Genomic DNA, 12,851 nt, shown 5'->3' with positions numbered 1-12,851 from the left:
TGTAATATTGCCTTAGGCTCCTCTTGACTAGGACACTTTCTTAGACCTTCTTGTTTTTTAATGACCTTTGACAATTTGGAGGACTACTGGTCAGATATCTTCTAGAATACCCCTACATTGGAATTTTTCTGATAGTTTTCTTATAATTACACCGAGGTTATAAGACGACACAGGTAGAACACCACGCCATTATCATCACATCATATTAAGGATATGTACTATTAGAATGATTTATCATTGTCCATATTGGCTTTGACCATTGAGCTGACATCACATCTGTCACATTTCTGCATTGTAAAGTTAGTCTTTTTTTTTTGTTCAGCAGAAAATTCTAGTTGCATTTTTTCACAGACTTAAAAATGAGTCCTGGGTTCACATCCTGGTTCTGCCATATGAATTGGACAATTACTTAAACCCCATGCCTCAGTTTCCTCATCTATGAAATGGAGATAATAAAAGTAGCATGTTATTCATGTATCTATTTTTAGGATTACAGAAATTATTAAAGCTTTCGGAATAGTAGAAACGGAAAGACTTATTTTTATCATCTCATGTAATCTTTTTTTTTTTTTTTTTTTGAGATGGAGTCTCACTCTGTCACCCAGGCTGGAGTGCAGTGGCGCGATCTCGGCTCACTGCAAGCTCGGCCTCCCGGGTTCATGCCATTCTCCTGCCTCAGCCTCCCAAGTAGCTGGGACTACAGGAGCCTACCACCATGCCCGGCAAATTTTTTGTATTTTTTTTTTAGTAGAGACGGGGTTTCACCATGTTAGCCAGGATGGTCTCGATCTCCTGACCTCGTGATCTACCCGCCTCAGCCTCCCAAAGTGCTGGGATTACAGGCGTGAATCTTATGTAATCTTTATAACAACTCTGTGGCCTTGTTGTAACCTTTAAAATATGAAGAAACTAAATTTCAAAAAGGGAGGTAGTGATTAAGCTGTGCTCTAGAGGTTTTCACTGACTAAGTTTAAATTCTTACTGTGAGCCTTATGATCTGACCTGAGCAAGAAACATAATATTTTTAAGCCCTGGTTTCCTCATCATGCAATGAGGATAATTATAGTTATCTATGTCCTACAGTTGCCTTGAGGATTGAGTCATATAATGAATGAAAAACCCTTAGCACTGCTCCTGGAAACACATAGTAAAGCCCTAATCAGTGTTAACAATGGTCTTTGTCATTATTGCCCACTGTGCCCCAGCTAGGAATGGACAAGTCAGGATTTGAACTCATGCCCTTCTTTAGAGAATGAGGAAGAGCCAGCTTTGAGAAAAGCCTCAGATTTGAGTACCACTGTTTTTTGTGCAGCATGGAGAATTACTATCCAAGAGGGCTCTATTGACCATGTTCTTCTTTCCTCAGTCTTCTAACTGGTTCTCAGAACCATCCTGCCACCTTTTTTAGAGATAGCTTGCCATTTGGCTGTTTTCTGCTGTCCTTTCACCCTGGGTGCAAGACTGCCCTAATATATGGTTGCCATACAGAATTAAATGTCAAGTAAGGAGTGCCACCTTTGCCCCTCTTCTAATTATGTACTCATTACCCTGAGCTCAAATCAGGAAAGATTTGGGAGGGCAGCTTATCCTTGCATTTTACATAGAGTGCTATACCTGAAAGACCTTAGAGATTATCTGATTCAAACCCACTCCCCTCATTCCTGTTACAGTGAGGAGAATGACACCCAATCAGTGAGGTCAAAAGTCAAGGGAATGCCATTGAAGAAACTCAGATCTCCATTTGTCAATTAGTTCTTCTGCTACAGAGGCTCATTTTCCTGAAGATAAGTTTAACAAATGTTGAATTAATGATAATAGTTCCACGTATGGAGACCTTTCTGTGTGCCAGGAACTGTGCATTAAGAGATGTTTGTTGTTATTATCTTATAAGTAAGCCTCATAACAGCATATGAAATGGAAGTGTTGTTTTTATTTGGTGATTGAGTGAACTGAGGTTCAAAAAGATTATGTGGCTTGTTCAAGGTCACATGGCTAAAGCAGTGACAAGATTTGAACCTGTTCATCTGTCTGATCTCTAAGCCTGTGCTATTAATGATTCTGAACCCTCTTGTCCTGTGCCATGTAAAGGAGAGAAGAGAGGGGTTCTGTAGCAATGAAGTTGATGCCTGAAAACTCAATGGGATCCATATGTGCATATACATGTACATGTATACAGCACACACACACACACACACACACACACACACACAAGCGTGCTTGCCTGTCCTGGTTGTGTATAAATATAACCAGAAGTTTGGCAAGGTGTCCTGGAACTTCATTTTCCCTCCAAGCTCCAAAAATAGCATGTGATTGACAAGGACTGTATGATTTCACTTGCTCTGATGCATTGAAACCTTATTCCTGGAAGCACTGCTGGAGGAAATGGATTGAAACCTTACTCCTGGAAGCACTGCTGGAGGAAATGCGGTGCAACCCTGGTATTGGCTCACACTTCAGAATAGCTTTTATGAGTCAGGAATGCTGATCTAAAGTTACAGACTCAGCTGAGTGTGGTGTTCACTTTTATGGAGAGGATTGGGAACAGGAAAAAGGTCCAGTTTAGAGAATAGCAGAAGAGTCACCATCACGTCCAAGGTGGGAGCAGAGATATTTTTGGCTGCCATCTTCAAAGTGCACAGGGTCCTTCCATTTTGGATATAACTTCTAAATAAAGGCATTTGGAGCATACATACTCCATGCCACTGTGGAAATGGAGACAAGCAGAAACAATATGACAGTCGAAACTGAGGTCTTCAGGATTCAACCCATTGGTTCTTTCTTTCTCCCTGAATACTCTGGTGGCTGGAGTCCCTTTTTAAAATGGTGTTAGGATGATGCTGTTTGCTTTCTCTGGGGAAATTTAATACCCAAAGGCTATTCAGACGGCCACCCTCAATGGCTCTGAGTCTCGGGGGCTGAAGTTGCAGTAAGAGCAAGGGAGAGAATACAGGTCCTTGATACTTCCATATTTTGCCTAGGGTACAAGATTCCAAAGCTGAGGCACATATGGACACATTAATCATTCTAACACTTTCTGACTCATGCACATGTAAAAAATACAGGCTGTATGTTTATTCACTCCACCAAAAACTACCCATTAAGTCCCTCCATGTGGCATGCCCTGAGTTAGAAGCTGTGGACATAGAAACCAATCATTACGCATATAAAATTCCTGGTAGACTGGGAAATCATAGTCTCATAAGTAAAACATATACATAAACACATAGATTATTGTAGATTATTGAGGTATAATATTGTGAAGCAAATGATGTTTAGATATTTAAATCAAATTAAGGATTTATGAATAAATTATATAATGGGTTTTTTTGCTGTAATATAGAAGGAGTGAGTGGGAGTATAAATGAAACAAGATTGGTCATGAGTACTAATTATTGAAGCTGGACATTGGGAATACGGAGGTTCATTATATGATTCTACTCTTAAATACATTTGAACATTTCCATAATTAAAAAAAAATTGGAGTAGGCAAAGAAGCTTCCATCTTCAGGCAGGTTATATATGGACATATATCCATGGTGACTTCTATAAATCTTTTTCCATTCTGGCCATTGAACTTGATTGACTCTTAGTCCATTTGGGTTGCTGTAACAGAATACCATAGACTGGGTGGCTTATAAACCACAGAAACTTGTTTCTCATGCTTCTGGAGACTGGGAAGTCCAAATCAAGGTGCCAGCAGATTTAGCGTCTGGTGAGAGCTGCTTCCTGGTTCATAGACAGCAATCTTCTTGTTGCATACTGATATGGTGGAAAAGGCAATGGGTCTCTCTGGGGCCTCTTTCATAAAAGCACTAACCCCATTCATGAGGGCTCCACCTTCATGACCTAATCAGCTCCCAAAGACCCCTCCTCCTAACACCACCACATTAGGGGTTAGGATTTCAACCTATGAATTTTGGAGGGACGCAAATATTCAGTCTGTAGCAAACCCTTAAGGTAAATCCCAACTTCTTAATAGAGCCTACAAGGCTTTGCATTTTCTGGTCTCCACCTATCTGGAGTGCTCTTTCCTTCTCTGCTCCTCCACAATTCCTTCCCACAACTGCCACGATGCAACTCATCCTGAATTTCCAATTTCAGCTTAAGTGTCACCTCCTCAGGGAAGATGTCTCTGATATCTTTTCTCCTATATGCTCTCTTAGACCCATGTTTCATTTCTTCCTCCCAATTTGTATGAACATATGTTTTTGTGTAATCATTTGACTCATGTGTCTTCTCAATTAGCACAAAAATTTCATGCAAGCAAACATTTTATCACTTCCATTACAGTATTCTCAGTGTCTAGCACAGTGCTTGGAACCTAGTAACCACTCAACACATATTTATGGAATGAATGACTCTGCTAAACCTGTCTACAAACACTGGCCTCAGTTATAGTCCCTTGTAAATAGGAATATAGGCAGGGAAAGTGAAGAATGTCTGTTCTCCTTTATCTGGTATATACGATTTAGTAGTTGAGATTTTTGGTGTTTGCAGTGGGGTGCCGAAGGGTCTATCAGATGAGAAAAGAAGGTAAGAGCTCTTGGGACCTAGGGCAGTGTTGACACAGCAGCTTCAGCTCCTGATCGAGTTCTCTCTACCTACCACTCATCTTCAACCTCCTTGGCTGACCCATGGATACTTGGATGTGTCAGGAACAGGGAGTAGAACTTGGAGAAGATTTAGGAAGTTATTGCACTCTGGGGGCTCATAAACCTTTGCAACTTTTCTCTCCATGAGCGAGCGTTGGACTGAAACTTTTGCCTGACTCCCATGGTGTGGGGGTTGTGATGTGGTCAATGACATCACCAAAGATTCTGCTAGTCTTTGCCTTAATTTACATTATCTTGGGACTTTAGGAAACATGTCTGCAAGGAAGGAAGAGTGTTGGAGCTATAACGTGGTTACTGTAGCTCAATTCACAGAAACACTGTACATAGCGAGAAAGCACCTTTGGGTTCAGAAAGCCCCACGTTATAACTCTGGTTCCACCACTTATTGCTGTGTGAGTTTGTGCAAGTCACATAACCTCTCTGTGTTTCAGTTTCCTGAACTACGAAGTTGGAATAATAATGCTTACCATGTAGAGTTTGTAGGAATTAAACTAAGTGGTGATATTGGCACATTTCCTGACTGTACAGGAGTGCTCAAAAGTTATGTCATTGAGGTTATAATATAAAATGCTACGGTGGAGATATGCGCAAAGTTCTATATTACTAGGGAAAGCAGGAATGATTTTACAGGTAAGGTGACAGTTCAGTTATGTTTTAAATGTTAACAACAATAGTAAAATAATAGCAGCCACCATATGTGTTACATGCCATGTCAGGTTTTGTGCTCTATATTTTTGGTACTTTTTGGCTCATTCAAACCTTACTGCAGTCTTCAAGGTCATACCCTGTTGCTCTCTTCATTTTACAAATGGAGAAAGTGAAGCTCAGAGAGGTTGAATGACTTTCCCAAGGCTACTCAGCTAGTGGATGAAGCCAGGATTTACACTTAGTTCTGTTTGACTTCAAAAGCCATTCTCTTACCCACTGAACTACCCACCCTCTCTCGAAGGTTGTGTTTGAGTCTTCCAAGGCAAATGGAAAGAAAAGGGATTGGTATAACATGTTCCAAAAGGAAACACTTGTATATTTCTTTATCTATTTGCATATTTCAGTATTTTTGGTTTGATCTATGTCGTACAACTGACTGACAGTTCCAAGAAGGCAAGAGTCATTCTGTTTTAGCCATCATTATTCCTAGGCTGGCACTGGGACATCGTAGGTCTTCAATAAATCTATGTCGAATGAATGAAGAATTTGATGCGCTCAGCATTCTCCCCAGCCTGTTACATATCATAGCGTGAATAAATGAACATGTGTGTGTGTGTTTAACCAAATTGCTCTACTCGCCATCCTATCTTAAAAAGAAATGTATCAGCAATGCTGGACAATTTTGTAATTAGCCACAGGAAATGTTTCTTTATAGCCAGCAAAAATTTTCCAGCCCATATGATGAGGTAATCTTAGAGAGCACTGATTCTTTTCTCTCCTCCCACCCTGTCACCTCTCCTGGTGTCCGGCATGTTTGAATTCTCTTTAAGGGTTTGAGATTCATTTCTGGTGACACTTAAACATTACAGGAGGAGAGGTGAGTGGGTCTGGTCAACACAGACAAGCCTGGATTTGGCACTTAGCTTTTCACACGAGGTGTTTTCCTCGAGGTTGGTATTACAAATAAAGCGGTGACCTGTGGTGTCAAGCAATGGCGTGTGGGAGCAGGAGGAGAAGGGAGAAAGAGCGGTGCGGGGGCAGCTTCCTCCCAGCGTGTATGTGAATAGCGCCAATAAGCTGTCAAATAAAATTAAGGTTCAAAATATACAGCCTTCAATTTGATTGCACTAAGATGCCGACTGCTGCTCCGAGGGAATACAATCGATTCTATTTTGACAGGTCTTGATGTACGCTAAGCAGTGACAGTCTCCCCTCTGTGCAGGATTAATAAAAGTTCACCTTAATTTGCAACTTAAATAGAACTGTATCTGGGGTCAAAATGATGCTTTTAATTTCCCCACCTGCTCCATCTCTTCTCTGTGTTGTCTCAACCCCCACTCCTCTTCTTTTCACTCTCTAGCTTCATCTTCCTCTCCCTTTTTCTCTTTTCCTTCATCTTAGCACCTTTTTCTTCTTTCTCCTTTTCACTTTCTCTCCTTTATACTTAGAAACAATATGGAGTACCTATGTTGTGCTTTTGCCTTTCATGCATTGCTTTATTGAATTCCCATGGCATCCTTAGGAAGTAGGGGGAATTGTGTTCATTATACAGATGAGAAAACAGAAGATCTTAGGATTAAGAGCTTGCCTAGTACAGCTAGTAAGTGGTACAGTGGGAGAATCAAACCCAGACCTCTCTGATTCTAAAAGTCTATGCTGTTTCCTTGCCATCCGTGGTCCTGAACTCTGGCAGAACATTAGAACCACCTGCGGGGCTGTAAAGGTATCAGTGCCTGGGCACTGCCTCCAGAGATGCAGGTTGATTCCTCTGGGGATGAGGGCGGCTGGGATGGAGAACTGCCCTATATTCTGTTTTCTCTTTATGCCCGTTTGTCTTAGCACAGAAGTAGATGCATATGTTGAGATATGTGGCAGAAAGGCCCTTGAGACGGATGGATGTCTCTGGCAGGGAAAGGATTTGCCTCTCCAGAAATCAGCGGCGGAAGAAAGCACAGCTGTGTCTTTGTGTTTGTGCTGCAGGTGGGCAAGTGGGAGAACCATACGCTGAGCCTGAGGCACGCCGTGTGGCCCAGGTACAAGTCCTTCTCCGACTGTGAGCCGGATGACAACCATCTCAGCATCGTCACCCTGGAGGAGGCCCCATTCGTCATCGTGGAAGACATAGACCCCCTGACCGAGACGTGTGTGAGGAACACCGTGCCATGTCGGAAGTTCGTCAAAATCAAGTGAGTGGCAGGAATGCTGTCACCTGAACGTGCCCAACCCTTTGAAATAGCATGGATCATCGATAGTAACAATATGTGTACTTGAATCACAAAATGTCATAGAAAATACACGTCGTTATAGTAGGTATAATACAATAATCAATTTAAAAAAGACTTAGATAAATTCCTAGAGATGTGCCACACTTGCATTCATTTAATTCCACCAGCAATATGAGGTGAGTAGTTTTGCCCATTGTAAATATGATAAAACCGAGTTATGGGAAGATTATGAAACATGTTCAAAGCCATCTAGCTAGGAAATGGAAGAGGTAGGACTCAAACAGTGGTCCAACTGACTCCACAGACATGTTTTTAACCCTTAGGTTGAATCAATCCTCCCCTTCAGTCTTTCTAGTTTAATTTAATTTATTCATTTATTTATTTTTGAACATACATATTCAAAAAATATCTTTATATTTTTAATATAGAAAACATTTTTGTATATTAAAATAAATATAAAACATATCTTAATATATTAAAATATAAAACATTATATATAAATATATAGAAATTATATATTTTATATATTTAAATATATAAAACAGTATATTTTATATATTTAAATATATAAAACAGTGTATTTTATATATTTAAATATATAAAACAGTATATTTTATATATTTAAATATATAAAACAGTGTATTTTATATATTTAAATATATAAAACAGTGTATTTTATATATTTAAATATATAAAACAGTGTATTTTATATATTTAAATATATAAAACAGTGTATTTTATATATTTAAATATATAAAACAGTGTATTTTATATATTTAAATATATAAAACAGTGTATTTTATATATTTAAATATATAAAACAGTGTATTTTATATATTTAAATATATAAAACAGTGTATTTTATATATTTAAATATATAAAACAGTGTATTTTATATATTTAAATATATAAAACAGTGTATTTTATATATTTAAATATATAAAACAGTGTATTTTATATATTTAAAATATTATAAAACAGTGTATTTTATATATTTAAAATATTATAAAACAGTGTATTTTATATATTTAAAATATTATAAAACATATATTTTATGTATTAAATATATAAAACACCATATGTTTTTATATATTAAAAATATAAAAGATCATATATTTTTATACATTAAAATATGTAAAACATCATATTTTATACATTAAAAATATAAAACATCGTATTTTTATATATTAAAAATACATATGGTTGGACACAGTGATTCACATCTATAATCTCAGCACTTTGGGAGGCCAAGCTGGGCAGATTACTTGAGGTCAGGAGTTGAAGACCAGCCTAGGCAACATGGCTAAACCCTGTCTTTCTTAAAAGTACAAAAATTAGCCAGCTATGGTGGTGGGCGCCTGTGATCCCAGCTACTCAGGAGGCTGAAGCATGAGAATCACTTGAATCTGGGAGGTGGAGGTTGCAATAAGTCGAGATCGAGCCACTACACTCCAGCCTAGGCAACAGAGTGAGACTCTGACTCAAAAATAAATAAATAAATGAAAATAGAAATATATAAACATTATACATTTTTATATATTGAGATATATAAAACATATATTTTTACATATTTTATATATAAACTATTTTTATATATAAACTATATGTTTATAGATAAAATATATAGTTAATGTACAAGTTTATATATAAAATATATATTTATATGTTAAAATATATAAAACATTTTCATATATTAACATATAGAAACCAATATATTTTTATATATTAAAAATATATAAACCATATATTTTCATGTTAAACATATATAACATATATATTTTTATATATATATAAAACATATAAAAATAAGGCCTGTTTTGGTTTGGAGAAAATTTTATCAATGAGGTCACAAATGTCAGCCTCTTTGAAGTTGAAATCCTGAATACATCATGGAATAAATAAATATGCCCCTACTGTTATGTTAGAAATGTATAAAACGTATGTTTTTATATGTTAAAAATGTATAAAACATTATATATTTTTATGTGTTAAAAATATATAAAACATTACATATTTTTGTTAAAAAATATAAAACATATATTTTTATGTGTTAAAAATATATAAAACATATATTTTTATGTGTTAAAAATATATAAAACATTATATATTTTTATGTGTTAAAAATATATAAAACATTAATTTTTTTTATATAATGACAGGGTCTTGCTCTGTCCCCCAGGCTGGAGTGCAGTGGTGTGATCACGGCTCACTGCATTCTTGAACTCCTAGGCTCAAGTGTTCTTCTCACCTCAACCTCCTGAATAGCTGAGACTACAGGCCTGTGCCACCATGTCTGGCTCATGTTTTAATTAATTTTTTTTTTTAGAGACAAGAGTCTTGCTATGTTACTCAGCCTGGTCTCAAGCTCCTGGCCTTAAGTGATCCTCATGCCTTGGCCTCCTGAGTCACTGGGATTATAGATGTGAGCCACTGTGTCCGGCTTCCTTTAGTCTTTTTAAAAATAATTATTTAGTTTCCACTTTTCTGGCTGTCCCTTTCCTTCCCCCCACACATTCTTCTTCCATCTCTTTTATAGATCCCAGATCTATGCTTCTCAAGAAGGTTAAAAACGTCTCTCCATTTGGGAGTGAACACACACCTTGCATGTTACTTTCTGATACAATCCAGGTGCAAATGGAACTTCTGGCAGTTTCTCAGCTCAGCAACAGCCAGCAGGCACTGCATCTGTGTCATTTCTCCTTTTGTTATGATTGAAGAAAGAGCTGGCATTGTCCATTATGAGGTCCCCTTAATCTACAAACCCTCTGGGGACACAGAAACCTCCATGGCCACCTCCAAGGCCCTGATCCTGGTATTTCCTAATGCAAACATAAGCAAAAACACCACCTCACAGGAGACTCACAGAAGAAAAAGGCCTGCTGTTGGAAACTTTATTTGTTTTCTGAGTCTTTTCTGATCTGTTTCTTTTACCTAATTCTTACTCATCCTTTAAGTGTAGCTCCTGCGTCCCCAAGCTGGGTTAGCTCTTCCTACTTCCACAGTACCTGGGTGTATCTCTCTCTACCCTCATCACCTGTCTTTACAGTGTATAGTTTGTCTTCTCCCTGGCTTCTGAGCCACCTACATATAGGGAATGTGACTTATTAATATTTGCACCCTCAGTTACAAGGGCACAGCATGACACACCAATGTTTGTTTCATGACTAGGAAGAGAGATTTTTACTTCCTCGTTTCAAACTCCAGTCTCAGCTATTATCACACAAGATGCAAGTGCCCAGATCTCAGTCCTTGAGATCAGGATTTTAAAGATATAATATGTGATTGCTAAATGTATTGTGAAGGCCTGTTTTGGTTTGGAGAAAATTTTATCAGTGAGGTCACAAATGTCAGCCTCTTTGAAGTTGAAATCCTGAATACATCATGGAATAAATAAATATGCCCCTCCTAAAAAGGCCCTTGCTTTCTCCAGTGTCCCCACTGTGGCTCCCTGGGATGAAGTTTTTTTTTGATAAGCAGTCCCCCAGCCTCCACTCTCCTGGAGATGAGGAAGAGGTGGGGCCCACCAAGGAAGGGCAAGTGTACATCCCATGATTCATGATTCATAATTCATCATGATTCATAATTGTGTGAAACAGACCATGTTTTGGGGTCAGGAATGTTTTAATGATTTTTGCTGAATTCCTTTACAGTGAAATAACACAGACATTGTTATAAGTAAAATTGTTATAAATAAATTGTTTTAATACAGAATGAATGAATGTGCATTAAGCACAGTTTGCATGTTAGGCACATTGCTGGGCACAGGGGATACATGGATGAACAGGGAGGGCAAAAGACTAGGACCTTTCCATCATGGAACTTACGTGGTTAGAAAACAATTCGACCAGGAAGAAATGGGTGACCCCATGTTGTAATAAACCTTGTGATGAACAGAAAGAGAGTGGTGTGAGAAGAGAGTACATCGGGGTATGTGGGGTTACTTTAGCTCACACAGATAAGATTTAAGGTGATATATACAGGATGAGAAGAAGCCAGACATGTGAATATCTGGGCAAAGCCTTCCAGGTAGAGGCAATGGCAGGTGCAAAGGCCCTGGGGAGGAAAGGAGCTTGGGAGTTTGGGAAACGGAATGAAACCCAGTGCAGTGCTAGAGAGTGATGAGTTACAAGGAGGATGGAGGGGATGATGTGGGAAAGTTGTCAGAGGATGTTCTAATTTGGGTGGGTGTTCTTTGAGCAGAACTTGGCCCGATGAAGAAAGCAAAGTGGCTGGCACAAAGCAGAGTCTAACTTCAGTGGGACACCTCCCCTATGATAACAATACCCTCTGTGTTTCAATAGGGCAATCAACTGAGGCCCCGTGTGCTCCAGAATCAATAATAGGAGTTTAGAGTCTTTAAAATCAAAAGCCCTGGAGCTGAAAACAAGTAGATCCCCAAGTACTGAGTCACATTTGTATGAGGAAGAGAAATCAAAATAAATTGCTGTCTTTAAAAGAATTGACTTTTCTACTGAAGACTATCAACAGCTTAACAGGTTCAAATTCACGTTTTTGGTTTCTGTGAGGAGATAGTAGCTTGCAGCTTTCCTTCTTCCGCTTGGGGATATGAGGAGTTTACTGTGTCTGGATGAAATGAAAGTCTGACTCGTGAGAGCAATAGAGAATTGCTAGGATCCACTAATCCCAACATTAAAGAAGATTAGATCAATTGCATTTCCTATAGGGAACGTCTTTGAGGAAGGCTGATCAGTTGCAAAAAGAATTCCTGTTAGACAACATGATTGTGTGAAACCTTTTTGTTTCTCACTTCTGGCAAGTGGTGGGATCTTCTAAGAATACCAGGTAACCGGAAATGAGCTGAGAAATCTTCCTTTCTGGTCTGTTAGTTGGGTGATAAAGACATGCAGAGAAAATTGGAAAAATCATTTGGCCTGATGTGTAGCGAGAAATGGCCATGCTGTCAATTAAGCTCCCAAACTGTCAAATCATTGGTGGGAAGAAAGGAAATTTATTTTTAAGTGCTGGATGAGATTTGTCTGAGTCTGCGTGGTGGACAGGAGCCAACCCAGGACCTGGACACAGCTCTGACTCGCATGGCTGTGCTCACATCCACCGGCTATACTGGGAAATTGTAGAGCTGGTAAACTGGACAATTTGTTGGATCCCTTTCCCCGTATTTGTTTTTGTGAGTCATTCCCTCTCTTGGGTGGTGGTGGAGCACTAAGAGAGATCACATGGGGACCATTTCTCAGTCTGTGTAGTTAAGTCACATCCCCTGCACACCCACACAAGGGCTGTAATAGGAACCAACAGACGTTCCCAATTACAAGCTGGTCTGCAATTCCATAATTACTGTGATAAATTCAACTATTGCCTTTGCTGCGTGCCTTTTTCATCCTGTGTC

General features: G+C 38.5%; 1 protein-coding gene across 7 annotated transcripts in view; it reads left to right on the top strand.

The window, feature by feature from the left end:
• The window catches only part of GRIN2A (glutamate ionotropic receptor NMDA type subunit 2A), a 429,505-nt gene that overhangs the window by 325,706 nt on the left and 90,948 nt on the right, over window positions 1–12,851 (top strand). For all 7 annotated transcript variants that reach the window (NM_001134408.2, XM_047433994.1, XM_017023173.2 and 4 more), the window contains one exon: window positions 7,242–7,447. In NM_001134408.2, the coding sequence (NP_001127880.1) occupies window positions 7,242–7,447 (206 nt within the window). The remainder of the gene's footprint in view (window positions 1–7,241; window positions 7,448–12,851) is intronic.

The sequence above is a fragment of the Homo sapiens genome, chromosome 16 (genome assembly GCF_000001405.40).
Source record: "Homo sapiens chromosome 16, GRCh38.p14 Primary Assembly".
In the NCBI taxonomy this organism is placed as follows: Eukaryota; Metazoa; Chordata; class Mammalia; order Primates; family Hominidae; genus Homo; species Homo sapiens.
This window is presented reverse-complemented; position numbering and strand designations above follow the sequence as displayed.